Source organism: Homo sapiens, chromosome 9 (genome assembly GCF_000001405.40).
Source record: "Homo sapiens chromosome 9, GRCh38.p14 Primary Assembly".
NCBI lineage: Eukaryota > Metazoa > Chordata > Mammalia > Primates > Hominidae > Homo > Homo sapiens.
The window spans coordinates 31094670-31108425 of NC_000009.12; positions in this window are offsets into that span (position 1 = coordinate 31094670).

The following is a 13756-nucleotide window of genomic DNA, read 5'->3' on the forward strand; positions in this document are numbered from 1 at the left end:
AAAATAAACCCAAAGAAATAAATGCCAAGACATATCACAGTCAAACTTTTAGAACTTAAAGACACAGGAAAATTTTTGAAAGCAATGAGAGGGAAAGGATTTTTTACTTACAGAAGGAAAACAATTTGAATGACAAGGTATTTCTCATCAGAAATCCAGGAGGCCAGAGAAAGTGGCACAGCATTTTATAGTGTTGAAAGCAAAGAACTGTCAAATCAAACCTGATATACAGTGACAATATCCTTCAGGAATGATGGGGAAATAAGACATTCTCAAGTGAAGGAAAACTGAGAAATTTATCACCAGCAGATTTTTCCTGAAAGAAGGGCTAAAAAAAAGTTCTCTGGACTAAAAGGAAATACAAAATATTTAATCTTGGAGCATCAGAAAGGAAGTAAAATATGAAAATAACAATTTATGGGTAAATTATGTTAAATTTCCCTTCTCCCCTTGTTTTCTAAACAAAGTTTGAATATTTGAGTAAAATTACAACACTATTTAATGTGATTCTAAATGTATAAGATAACATATTTAAGATGATTATATTACAAAGAATTATATTATGAAGGATAAAATTAGGTTAAGGGACTTAAAGTTTATATGTGTCACTAAACCTGGTAAAATGTATATGACAGTAGATTGGAATAAATTATAAATATATATTATCCAGAGCAACCACTAAAGAACTATATAAAGAAATAGATACTGGCCAGGCACGGTGGCTCATGCCTATAATCCCAGCACTGTGGGAGGTCAAAGTGGGAGGGTGGCTTTGAGACTACCTTGGGCAATATAGTAAGACCCCATCTCAAGAAGAAAAAGATGAAAGAAAAAGGAAGAAATAAAAAAAGGAAGGAAGGAAGGAGAAAGACAGAAGGAAACAAAGACAGAAAGAAAGACAGAAAGAAGGAAAGAAAGAAAGAAGAAGAAATACATATTGATTATTAGAGAAATGCAAATCAAAACCATGAGACACCATCTCACACCAGTCCGAATGTCTGTTACTTAAAAGTCAAAAAATGACAGATGCTGGTAAGGTTGTGGAGAAAAGGGAACACTTACACAATGTTGGTGGGAGTATAAATTAGTTCAAACATTGTGGAAAGCAGTATGGTGGCTCCCCAGAGAGCTAAAAGCAGAACTACCATTTGACCCAGCAGTTCTATTACTGGGTATACACCCAGAGGAAAATAAATCATTCTACCATAAAGACACATGCAGGCATATGTTCAATGCAGCACTGTTCAAAATAACAAAGACATGGAATCAACCCATAATAAATGCTTATCAGTGACATACTGGATTTAAAAAATGTAGTACATATACATCATGGAAAACTATGCTGCCATAAAAATAACAAGATCATGTATTTTGTAGTAACATGGATAGAATTGGAGGCTATTATCCTTAGCAAACTAACACAGAAACAGAAAACCAAATAAGTGGGAGCTAAATGGTGAGAGCTTATGAACACAAAGAAGGAAACGACAGACACTGAGGTCTACTTGAAGATGGAGCATAGGAGGAGAGAAAGCAGCAGAAAAGAGAACTATTTGGTATTGGGCTTAATTCCTGGGTGATGAAATAATCTGAACAACAAATCCCTGTGACATGTGCTTACCTACATAACAAATCTTCACAGGTACCTCCAAACCTAAACTAAAAGTTAAAAAGATAAGAAAAAAGAAACTATAGATAAAAATGAAAAAAGAATTTTTTAAAAATAGTACTCCACAGGAAAGTAGAAAAGAAGAAACCAAAGAAAGCAAAACAGAAAGCAAACAACCAACAACAAGAATTAAATAAAATGGCATACTTATTACCTAACATGTCAATAATTACATCAAATATAAAACTGACCTGAGGGCTGGGCAACAAGAGCAAAACTCCATCTCAAAAAAAAAAAAATGACCTGAACTGAAGAGATCATGACTATGTAGAAAAATCACAACAAATCTAAAAAGAAAAATACTCCTAGAATTAATTATTCAGTTCAGCTAAGTAGAAGATAAAGTTTCAAAATAAATTCTATTTACTTACACTAGTATTAAACAGATGGACAACAAAAATAAAACATAATATTATTTACAATCACTGAAGAAAAAAGAAATATTAAATGTATATCTAAAATTCATGGACAGGACTTAAGTTCTTGAAAGTACAAAATGTTGATAAATGACATTAAATAATATAAAATGAATGTAGAGATATACTGTGTTCATAGATGAGAAGATTCAACATGGTAGAGTTGTCAATTCTCTACAAATAGACAATTCATTTGCTATCAAAATGTGAATGAGAACTTTTTTACTTATTTTGTATGTATAGAAAACTTTAAAATACATATGGATATGTATTAACTAGAATATCTGAAAAATTTTGAAAAAGGAGAATAAAATGTAACCTTATTTCAAGACTTACGCAGTTGCAGTAATCATGAATTTGTGGAATTCGTAGAAAAAAAGGCAAATAGGTGCAAAGCCAATTCAGTGGAGGAAAAAATAGCATTTTCAGCAATGACGCTAGAGCAACTGGACAATCACAGGTGAAAAAAATATACCTTCACATAAGCATAACACCTTCTACCAAAATGAACTCACGATAGATCATGCACTTAACTGTAAGACATAAAAGTTTTATTTAAAAAGCCATAGGGAAAATTCTTCAGGATTTCAGACTAGGCAATCGTTTCACAGACTTGACATCAAAGGCAAGCTCTATTAAATGAAAAAAATATAAATTGGACTTCATCAAAGTTACAGATGTTTGTTCTATGAAATATTCTGTTGAGAATAAACCTAAACACTTGGAGAAAATATCTGTAAACTACACGTCTTAAATAGAAGTGGCATCTAGAATATATAAAGAATTCTGCAAATACACCCATAAAAAAAAAAAAGCCAATTAGAAATTTGACAAAAGGTGTTTCCCAGAAAGACAATATCTTGATGGCAAATAGCCCATAGAAAATATGTCCAAAATTATTAGCCATTAGGAAAATACAAATTAAAATATATAACAAAATATTACCTCACACCTACCAAAATGGCTAAAATTTAAATAGTAACAAAACCAAATGCTGACAATGATATAGGGAAACTAGATCACCCATGCATTGCTGGTAGAAATAAAAATGATCCAGACACTCTGGAAAATAGCATAGTGTTTACCTAAAAAATAAATTTATGCTTACTATATGATACATCCATTGTACTTCTGCTCATTTATCCTAGAGAGATGAAAATTTACACAAAAACTTGTACATGAATGTTTATAGCAGCTTTATTTGTTAGTCAGTAACTAGAAACAACTTTGTGTCCAACAATGGATGAATGGTTAAACAAACTGGCACATCCATGCTGTGAAATATGTATTAGTCTCTTTTCACACTACTAATAAAGACATACCCGAGACTGGGTCATTTATAAAGGAGAGAAGTTTAATTGACTCACAGGCCCACATGGCTGGGGAGGCCTCACAATTATGGTGGAAGGCGAATGAGGAGCAAAGTCAGGTCTTAACATGACAGCAGGCAAGAGAGCTTGTGCAGGGGAGCTCCCGTTATAAGACCATTAGATTTCATGAGACTTATTCACTACCGTGGGAACAGTATGGGTGAAACATCCCCCATGATTTAATTATCTCCACCTGGCCCCACCCCGACACATGGGGATTATTACAATGCAAGGTGAGACTTGGGTGGGGACACAGCCAAATCATATCAGAATACTGCTGAACACTAAAATGAATAATGATACAGAAAGCAACTTAGATACATTCCCCAGAAAATTATGCTAAGTGGCAAACATCAATCTCAAAAGATAACATACCATAACTTCAATTTATACCATTTTGAAATGACAAAAATTAAAGACATAAGTAATATATTAACGATTGGAATTAGTGAGTTAAGAGGGAACTGAGTGTGGCTATCAAAGGGAAACACGAGTGATGTTCTGATCAAGGAATTATAATGTACCAGTGTTAATATTCTGGTTGTGATACTATATCATAAATGTGCAAAACTATATTATACCAGAGTTTCTAGAGAAACTGGGTAAATGGTACAAGGAATCTCTTCCTATTATTTCTTACAAATTTATGTTAATTTAAATTATCTCTAAATAAAAAGTTTAGTGTAAAAAATACAAAATAGAAGCAAATATGTCCATGATATTAAGCAAGTATACACATGCACAGATTGAAAAACAATGTCTATTTGACTAGATTTTACTTTTCATTTTATTTTGTTAAATATTATTTATTATTTATTTGTTTGTTGTTTGTTTGTTTTGAGACAAGGTCTCATTCTGTCACCCAAGCTGGAGTGCAGTGGTGCCATCATGGCTTACTGCATGCTCAACCTGCTGGGCTTACTCCATCCTCTTGCTTCAGCCTCCCAAGCAGCTGGGACTACAGGCTTTTGCCACTGCACCCAGAAGAGTTTTGTATTTTTTGCAGAGACAGAGTTTCGCCATGTTGCCCAGGCTGGTCTCGAATTCCTGGGCTCAAGTGGTACACCAGCCTCAGCCTCCTAATGTGCTGGGATTATAGGTGTGAGCCACTGTACCTGGCAATATTTGAATGGATTTTTATGAATCCTGAATTTCCTAAGTAATTGATTTTATTTATTATAGCTATTGCTTAGAGATTTACTTCTCCCAGTACTTTTGGGCATATATTAAGTATGCCACAAATACCATAGTGGTTAAAGTATAAAAATAATTATTAGAAATTATCATAACCATTACATTAGCTGTGAGCGAACATGAAAATTGAAACTAATAGCCCGACATCAACATATATACCAAATTGAATATATAGAGCACTTCTTGCATCAGCTTTTTCTTAAACCCCATTGAAAACATCATCACCAGGGTGTCAGAATGCATATGTGTCTCTGTTACTGATGATAGCCCCTCAGTTCTGTGTTTGGGTGGCTCTTCATAGTCTTAGCTTTTGGTAACCTTTCAGTTCCTCACTTTCCATATATCTTCACTTAAGTTTACTCATATTATCACCACCTTATTCTTCCACAAACCCTCATTGTATTGTTTTATTGTTGGTGGTGGTATTAGATTTTTTGCTTGTTTTGTTTCTTCCCCGCCCTATGGCCTTGCATGAAGTCTTCTCTCTGTTAGTTCAATCACCCATTCACATGTCACATTACTCTGTCCTGTTGTAATCCCTTTAACTGAAGTTACAAAACTGTTAATCCCCTACTGCAGCTATGTATATAAATACCGAAAATGTGGACATAAACTTTATATAGACAGTGACATACATATAACATGACCTTAGGCTTCAGATGGCTAATTTTGAAATAATAATAAATTAACTCTTTTTTTCTAATTCCCTTCCCCTTAACACACACTTAGTTAACAGTGGATTGTCCCATAGTTTTTAACTATTTAGCAGTATACTCAAAAAATTCAAGCTGATTTTGTAGCTGGGGATGTTATGCAGTTATTTACTTTTAAATATTTATTTATATGAAAGTACTTTTGAACTCTAAGTACTATACAGTCAAACATACAATTTTTCATCTTATTTTCATTCTGCTTTAATCACCGTTGTAAAGCTTCGATGAGAAACAAAAAAGAAACACACAGAGCACAAATTGTAATTTCAACAAATAATATTATTATATCTGTGGCTTCATTTAGAGCTATATAACTTGCATGAGAGATTTTATGAATACATAATAGATTTATTTTTCCTTTTAATAATGACACATAGATGTTCTTGAAACAAAAATTCATTCATTATTTTATAGAGAGCTGAAAGAAGTAACTGTTACAAAGGAGTAGAGAAGGCTTTTCTTCTTCAGTCTTAGTACAGAGGCTTTTAATCTTAGTCTCTTGTGATAGGTTTACCAGAATGATGAATCAGTAGTAGAGTGTTCGTTAATCTCCCAATTCATTTGAGCTGATTTTGTGTGTTGACTGAAGTAAGGAAACAATTGAGTGAAATTGGTTAGTCCTCAGAGCAGCAATTTCAGTAATACCCAAAGCAGAGCCTGTAGGATGGTAGGTCCTAACTTAATGGAACAACAACAGCATCAACAAATTCAAACAGAAAACAAGCCCAGTGATACTCTCAGAAACATACAAATTAAAATTATGTTGTCTTTTTAACTGTGATATAAAGCATCAAACAGATGGAATGAATTCTAAATTCAAATGGAGAGTTGATATATATTTATCAAAAGTTAATCCAATTATTCTTTTACCTATTGTGATTTTTTGACTGGAATTTATAAAAATTGGGGAAGTGAAACAGAGAATTGGGAAAGTGAGAACAGAACTTTTTAAAAATGTATTTCTAGGCATGTTAATAAATTGAAATGAATTCCAACATGATGAATCATGTTTTTTTAACAACAAAATTGTAAAAACTGTGTGCAATTCTACATCTAAAAAGTTTCCATTTATCTTGACTTCTTCAAATAAGAAGTGCTTTATATTCTACTTCATTTCTAATTCATCTGTTAACTGAGAGTCTATGTTTTATCTTTGTTTTCTTTACTAATCCATGTTTTAAAGTCAGCCTGTCTAAACCTATCTGTTCACCAAATCACCAGAGAACTTTGTCAAAAATGCAGACTTCCATATGTTTGTTGGCCACATAAGTGTCTTCTTTTGAAAAGTGTCTGTTCATATCCTTCACCCATCTTTTGATGGGGTTGTTTGGTTTTTTCTTGTAAATTTGTTTAAGTCCCTTGTAGATTTTGGATGTTAGCCCTTGTCAGATGGATAGATGGCAAAAATTTTCTCCCATTCTATTGGTTGCCTGTTCACTCTGATAATAGTTTCTTTTCCAGTGCAGAAGGTCTTTAGTTTAATTAGATGTCATTTGTCAATTTTCGCTTTTTTTGCAGTTGCTTTTGGTGTTTTAGTCATGCAGTCTTTGCCCATGCCTATGTCCTGAATGGTATTGCCGAGGTTTTCTTCTGGGGTTTTTATGGTTTTAGGTCCTATGTTTAAATCTTTAATCCATCTTGAGTTAATTTTTATATAAGAGGTAAGGAAGGGGTCCAGTTTCAGTTTTCTGCATATGACTAGCCAGTTTTCCGACACCATTTATTATATAGGGAGTCATTTCCCCATTACTTGTGAAATACCGTCTCATGCCAGTTAGAATGGGGATCATTAAAAAGTCAGGAAACAACGGTTGCTGGAGAGGATGTGGGGAACGCTTTACACTGTTGGTGGGAGTGTAAATTAGTTCAACCATTGTGGAAGACAGTGTGGCAATTCCTCAAGGATCTAGAACTAGCAATACCGTTTGACCCAGCAATCCTATTACTGGGTATATACCCAAAGGATCATAAATCATTCTGTAAAGACACATGCACATGTATGTTTATTGCAGCACTATTCACAATAGCAAAGACTTGGAGCCAACCCAAGTGCCTATCAATGTTAGACTGGATAAAAAAAATGTGGCACATATACACCATGGAATGCTATGCAGCCATAAAATAGAATGAGTTCATGTCCTTTGCAGGGACATGGATGAAGCTGGAAACCGTCATTCTCAGCAAACTAACACAGAAACAGAAAACCAAACACTCATAAGTGGGAACTGAACAATGAGAACATATGGGCACAGGGAGGGGAACATCACACATGGGGGCCTGTTCAGGGATCGAGGGTAAGGGGAGGGATAGCATTAGAAGAAGGATCTAATGTAGATGACGAGTTGATGAGTGCAGCAAACCACCATGGCACATGTTACCTATGTAACAAAACTGCACGTTCTGCACATTTATCCCAGGACTTAAAGTATAATAATAATAATAATAAAATAAAATAAAAGTAAGAAAAAAATGCAGACTCCAAAACTCACAAAACTTCCTGAAATCAAAATCATGGGGATGGAAAATGGAACTTTGATTTTAAAAAAGGCATCTTTTCAATTTACAAAGAAAAAAATGTGGAATTACAGATTGAAGGCTAAATTTTGTATGGGAGATATTTCTGTTTACTGTTGTTCTGTTTGAGAAAAGAAGACATGGAAGGGAAGGTGCACACAGCTCGAATTCGACTTCCCAGTGTTCATGGAAACTGGTTATTATACCCCATAATGTGGAAAAAAGTTAAGTGTGTGGTAGTAGAAGTTCTCTTTTCCTGAAAAGAGTTCCTTTCTACTGTCATGTCTTGAGGAATTTCTTTGAAAAGTGCCCTGATACTTCTGAGGTGGAAGTCCTCATTTTTATTTAGTCACCAATGTGTGGATCAGAATTTGATAAGCATTAAGTGCAGATATATTCCCTGTATTTGAGTTATCCGGGTATTTAGTGTTACCTTTGACTTCAGGGCAGAGGGCTTATGATTATTTTCTTCACAATAGAGAACTTTTGTATAAATTTAGCCTTGAGTAGCTTCTCCTCCACTGTAAAGTCTCAGTACGTACTATCTAGTTTCCATAGGTACACACACAACCATTCTCATTTAAGCACCTGTCTACTTCTGGGAACTCAATATTATTCAGTTATGCACCATCAATAGAAATTACAAACTTTGATCTACCTTGTCTATCTCCAAAGAATCCATCCAATACCCAAATTCACTTCCTGTTAAAAAGTACACCCCTACACATCTCTGTAATCCTTAAAAATTACAAGGTCTGTGCTCTTCTACCTGTTGGACAATCTAATTTATACCCTTTGATAGACCTCAAACTTCAAATGCCCAAATATTTTATCTGGGTTATATCCTCTGTCACCACTACTCCTTCCCCCAACACACACAACTTGTCAAATTCTTCTCACTCTAAACACAGACACATTCACGTGCATACATAGCCGAACACACACACATACACACAGAAATGCTTTTCTGTGCATACCTTATGCAGTTGAGTATGAGGAAGAAAACTTTAAGTGAAAAAGGATATGTATTCATTTCTTTGTTTTAAATCTGCAGTGAAAAATTCACACCTCCACATACATGTGTATACTCATAAACAAATTTTCCATAATATTGTTCATTATACTCATATATTCTAATGGCATGTTTTATAAAAATTGAGAACTGGAACTTTAGGGCATGCTTATCAAACCTCCACAGTAGTGAAAATAAAATAAATATGACACAGTATTTCACAGTAGTGAAAATAACTTTACAGTGTACATCTTTCCACATTCTGTCAACACAAACTTCTGCCCTCACACTCCCTCCCACCCAGACAAGTCACACATTTGTATTCCTTCACTCCTCCAATTCAGTACTTATTCCAACTGCCTCTCTGTTAGTTGTTAACTTATTTCCTGCTAGGAAGAAAATAGATTACTAGCTGTTAACATTCCAGAATATTTGCATTTTGCATACAGGCACTTTGAGGATATCTGTGGTTTTGGATGGAAGCCAAGTCAGACAACTTCTTAGACAAAACTTGACCCAGCTGCTTCTTATAGCAGTTGCCTCTTTGGACATGAATATGCTGAGTTGTGTGTGTATCTGCCCCTTAATTAGCACCCTCTCTTAATACAAAAAGATATTCACTTCTCCTAAACAAAAAGATGTCACCTCTATGCTCATTTAATTGTGAATCTGCCACATGTTGAACTTTGGCCATAATCTGATACATATGCGGGCCACCGTTAGAGCTACCAGGTGTGTAATGAACACACATTCTGGTACTGACATTAGTAGTGGCATTGATCGTGACCAAGCAGTTGGAGCATGTTACTTATATTGACTCTCCTTGGTAAGTAACTGGAAAAATCCAACTCAAACTGCCCTACACACACACACACACACACAAATATTTACTGAAATGACAGATTTTTATGTGTATCTAAGCTTCAGATTTGGGTTATTCTAATTTATAAAATTAGGACTTTGTTTTATTCTATTTCAGTCATTTTAGCTCATGGCTTTAGTCTAGGATTCTATGTGATGATTTTTTTGCAACTATAGACTATAGTGAATATTCCAACGAGTTCACTTTCCCCCAAAAGATAATAAGCTTCTCTTTTAAAAGATCCAGCTAAAATCGAGGTAGTTCTTCTTGTCATTGAATAGGTCATAATGCTCATATCTGAATCCAATCCCTAGTGCTGGAGAAAATAATTTTTGTTTGTTTGTTTCATTAAGCCCATAGCTCTTGTCTTTTCCTGGAGTTTGGAAGCAGAATTAACTGTACATGAAATTTATGATTTAAAATTAGAGGATTATGTGGTGACCAGAGAAGAATTTCTATGCTGTTTACTGGGGGAAGATTTCTTTAATATTGACGATCAAAGTTAATAGATACCCATTGCATCCAAAGTGGCAAATTGGTATCCATGCTAGCACTAGCCCAAACCCATCTATGGAAGACATCTCTGTCAGTTCTGGACCCTTTGCTATTGCACTCACAATTTGTCTCATAATTTTCCTTAAGGACTCTCCAGTACACAACTAGCAGTTCATCAGAGCAAACATATGACACCTTTAATTAGGTTGTTTATGATGGTATCTTTGGATAAAATTCTTCATTTGTGTCATTAACTCATGATTAATCTCCACCCACAAATGTACCTAAATAAATCTTGAGTATTTGCTATTACACCTGCCTTTGCATCTTTAATCTAAGATCAAATTTTTAGTTAAATAATAGAAGTATTTGGATGTTTAGGAGAAAAACATCAGAAAGATGTAGCCAAACATGGAACTTTAGTTTTGATTTCCAATAATATGTGGCTAATCGTAAGATCACAAAGTTGATGTATATTTAGCTGTGCATACAAAGGAAAAAAATCGCCTCAAATGATAGAAAATGATATATGGATAATATTTGAGTGCCTGCATAGCTCTTAAAACTGTATAAAGACTTGTATAATCATGCACATTCTTATAATTTAACTTAGTGTCTTTAGCATGTTAATATGTCTTCCACTGACTTAGAAATACCTATTTGAAACTTCAAATTTCTTTTTTTTTTGAGACAGAGTCATGCTCTGTCATCCAGGCTGGAATGCAATGATGCGATCTCCGCTCACTGCAACCTCCCGGGTTCAAGCGATTCTCCTGCCTCAGCCTCCCAAGTAGCTGAGATTACAGATGCCCACCACCACGCCCAGCTATTTTTGTATTTTTAGCAGAGACGAGGTTTCACCATGTTGGTCAGGCTGGTCTCGAACTCCTGAGCTCAGGTGATCCACCCTCACCTTGGCCTCCCAAAGTGCTGGGATTTATAGGTGTGAGCCACAGCGCCCAGCCTGAAACTTAAAATTTCTATACCATATGTCTACTCCAACACCTAAAAGAATAGCAGGAGAAGTTAAGCATGCATCTCCACTGCCATTTAAACTTTTATTATTTCATTATGCATCATATTTTTCTCTAAAATTATGAAAATTCATTTATTAGAATTAACACTAAATAAAATGCAAATTAAACCATTATAATATTAGTAATGAAAGGTTCATAAAATGCCTGGCTCCCTTTATGAGATTTAATTTTTTTCAATTTTTTTTCTATATATAGAGGAGCTGGAGAGAGAGAGTGCAAGAGAAAAACTTAACACCTAGGTTTCTTAAATAAATCCAAAAATGACATATGAAGATGGCATTAATGTTATAAAAGGTGACAAGAATCATTTGATGGTAGTGTTTGATATTTTATTGCTACTACTAACAGCTATAAATACATTGCAAAGCTCTGATAAAATGTTGCAACTTGCCTTTGAAGGTTATAGTTTTTTTTTTTCTGTGTATTATTATAGTGGGGCTTGTTAACATCACCTAATTAGTTGATCATGCTTATCTATAAACAGTATCAAGTACCTGTACAATATCATTTTTAATCACCTATTATTTTCAAGATCACAACCCACAGTTATTACAGGAAAAATGAATAGTTTAATATTAAATATTATAATGATAGAAAACAGTATTTTAGGCTGGGTGCAATGGCTCATGCCTGTAATCCCAGCACTTTGAGAGGCCGAGGTGGGTGGATCACAAAGTCAAGAGTTCCAGACCAGCCTTGCCAATATGGTGAAACCCCATTTCTACTAAACGTACAAAAATTAGCCAGGTGTGGTGGTGCACGCCTGTAATCCCAGCTACTTGGGAGGCTGAGGCAGGAGAATCATGTGAACATGGGAGGCAGAGGTTGCAGCAGTGAGCTGAGATTATGCCACTGCACTCCAGCCTGGATGACAGAGTGAAACTCTATCTCAAAAAAAAGAAAAAGAAAACTGTTTTATTTTCTTGAGGCAGGTAGCAATTATTCTTTTTAATTGTTTTGTCAAAAGTAATAAATATCCAAAATAACGAATAGATGAAATAGATGAAGGATTTGAATTATTGTGTACAAATACCAGCTCTTCTCTGATGTCCTCTCAGGCAGATTCAATAGCTCTGACATCATGTGGCTATAGGAATTTATGCAGGCAACAATTTATAACACTAAACGGGTTGTATGGCAAATATATACGCTTATACATGTATTCACCCAATATTTTGAGTTTCCTATTGGTTCAGAGACCCTTTTTTCTTTTTCTGTATTTTCAGTACTATTTAGCACATAACATTTTCTATCTATATATGAAATAAAAACAAAAAGTAAGGTGTTTATCACACATTTGACAATAAATACAATGAAAAACAATAAAACTCTAAATCAAGCTGACCACTATTTGCAGTTAGAATTAACCCTCAGATACCTAAATTTTGGTAAACACCATCATGATCTCAGTTCTGCAGGCATAAATGTTTAGTATTAGTTTTCACTGTATCACCCTTCTTACCCATTCTCCATGTGTCACTAAATTCTTCTGTACTTTCCTCTATGATGTTTGTCAAATTTGGTCTTTCCATCCTCCCGATTTTATTTTTAGGCTTCCTAATTTAATATCAATTCTACCATATTAGGCTGGCTTAATCCTAATGTCATCTAACATCTATTTTATCCTATATCACTATTATTAAATATTTCACTAATCATCCATTTTACATATGTGTATTTATTTTAAAAATGTAAACATGTACTAATCAACTAGTTTGTAACACACAATCTAAATAAAAGGAAATAATCAAAGTATGAGAAGAAAATAAATTTAAATAAATTTATTTCTCCATTAATGAATTTTAATACACACTGTATGGGAATGTAAAGTATTTTATGAGATAACTGATTTAAGTGATTGATTGCTTTTTTTTAATTTCTCCCAGTCTCCTGTGCACTCAGCACTCCAAAATTTTCTTAAAATACTGCTTTCTGATCAGAAATGTATAATGGTTAAGCTCAATTTAGATTATTCTCTGTGGAGATTTAAACATTTCTCTATTTAGGTTCTTCTTTGCGAATACAAATTTATTTCTTGTTTCATGCTCCTTACCAGCACACACATATTACTTCTCTGTGTTAGTCAGCAGCTCTTTTTATTTTATTTCTCAATTGCTTTGCTCATTTTCTCCATTGTGCTTTTGCCTACATTGTCTCCACTGCCCATATCACAATACTCACACCATTCCTACCCAATCCTACATCATATCCCCTTCTTCTGATCCAGTTTTTCTCATTCTCAAAGCCTAAAGCAGTTTCTCAGAAATGTTTTCCTTAACATGTTAACAGAATTTAATTATGCTTTAAAAATAAGGGTACCTTAAGGATCTATCCCATCACAGAAGGAGATATCTTGATCATATTTTCCATAAAAAATATCTTGATCATAGTCAAAGTATAGTCAGAATACATTGACTATGGTCATAGGCCTCCCAAGCATTAAGCATACCCAGTTTAACCTACAAGCAGCAGGT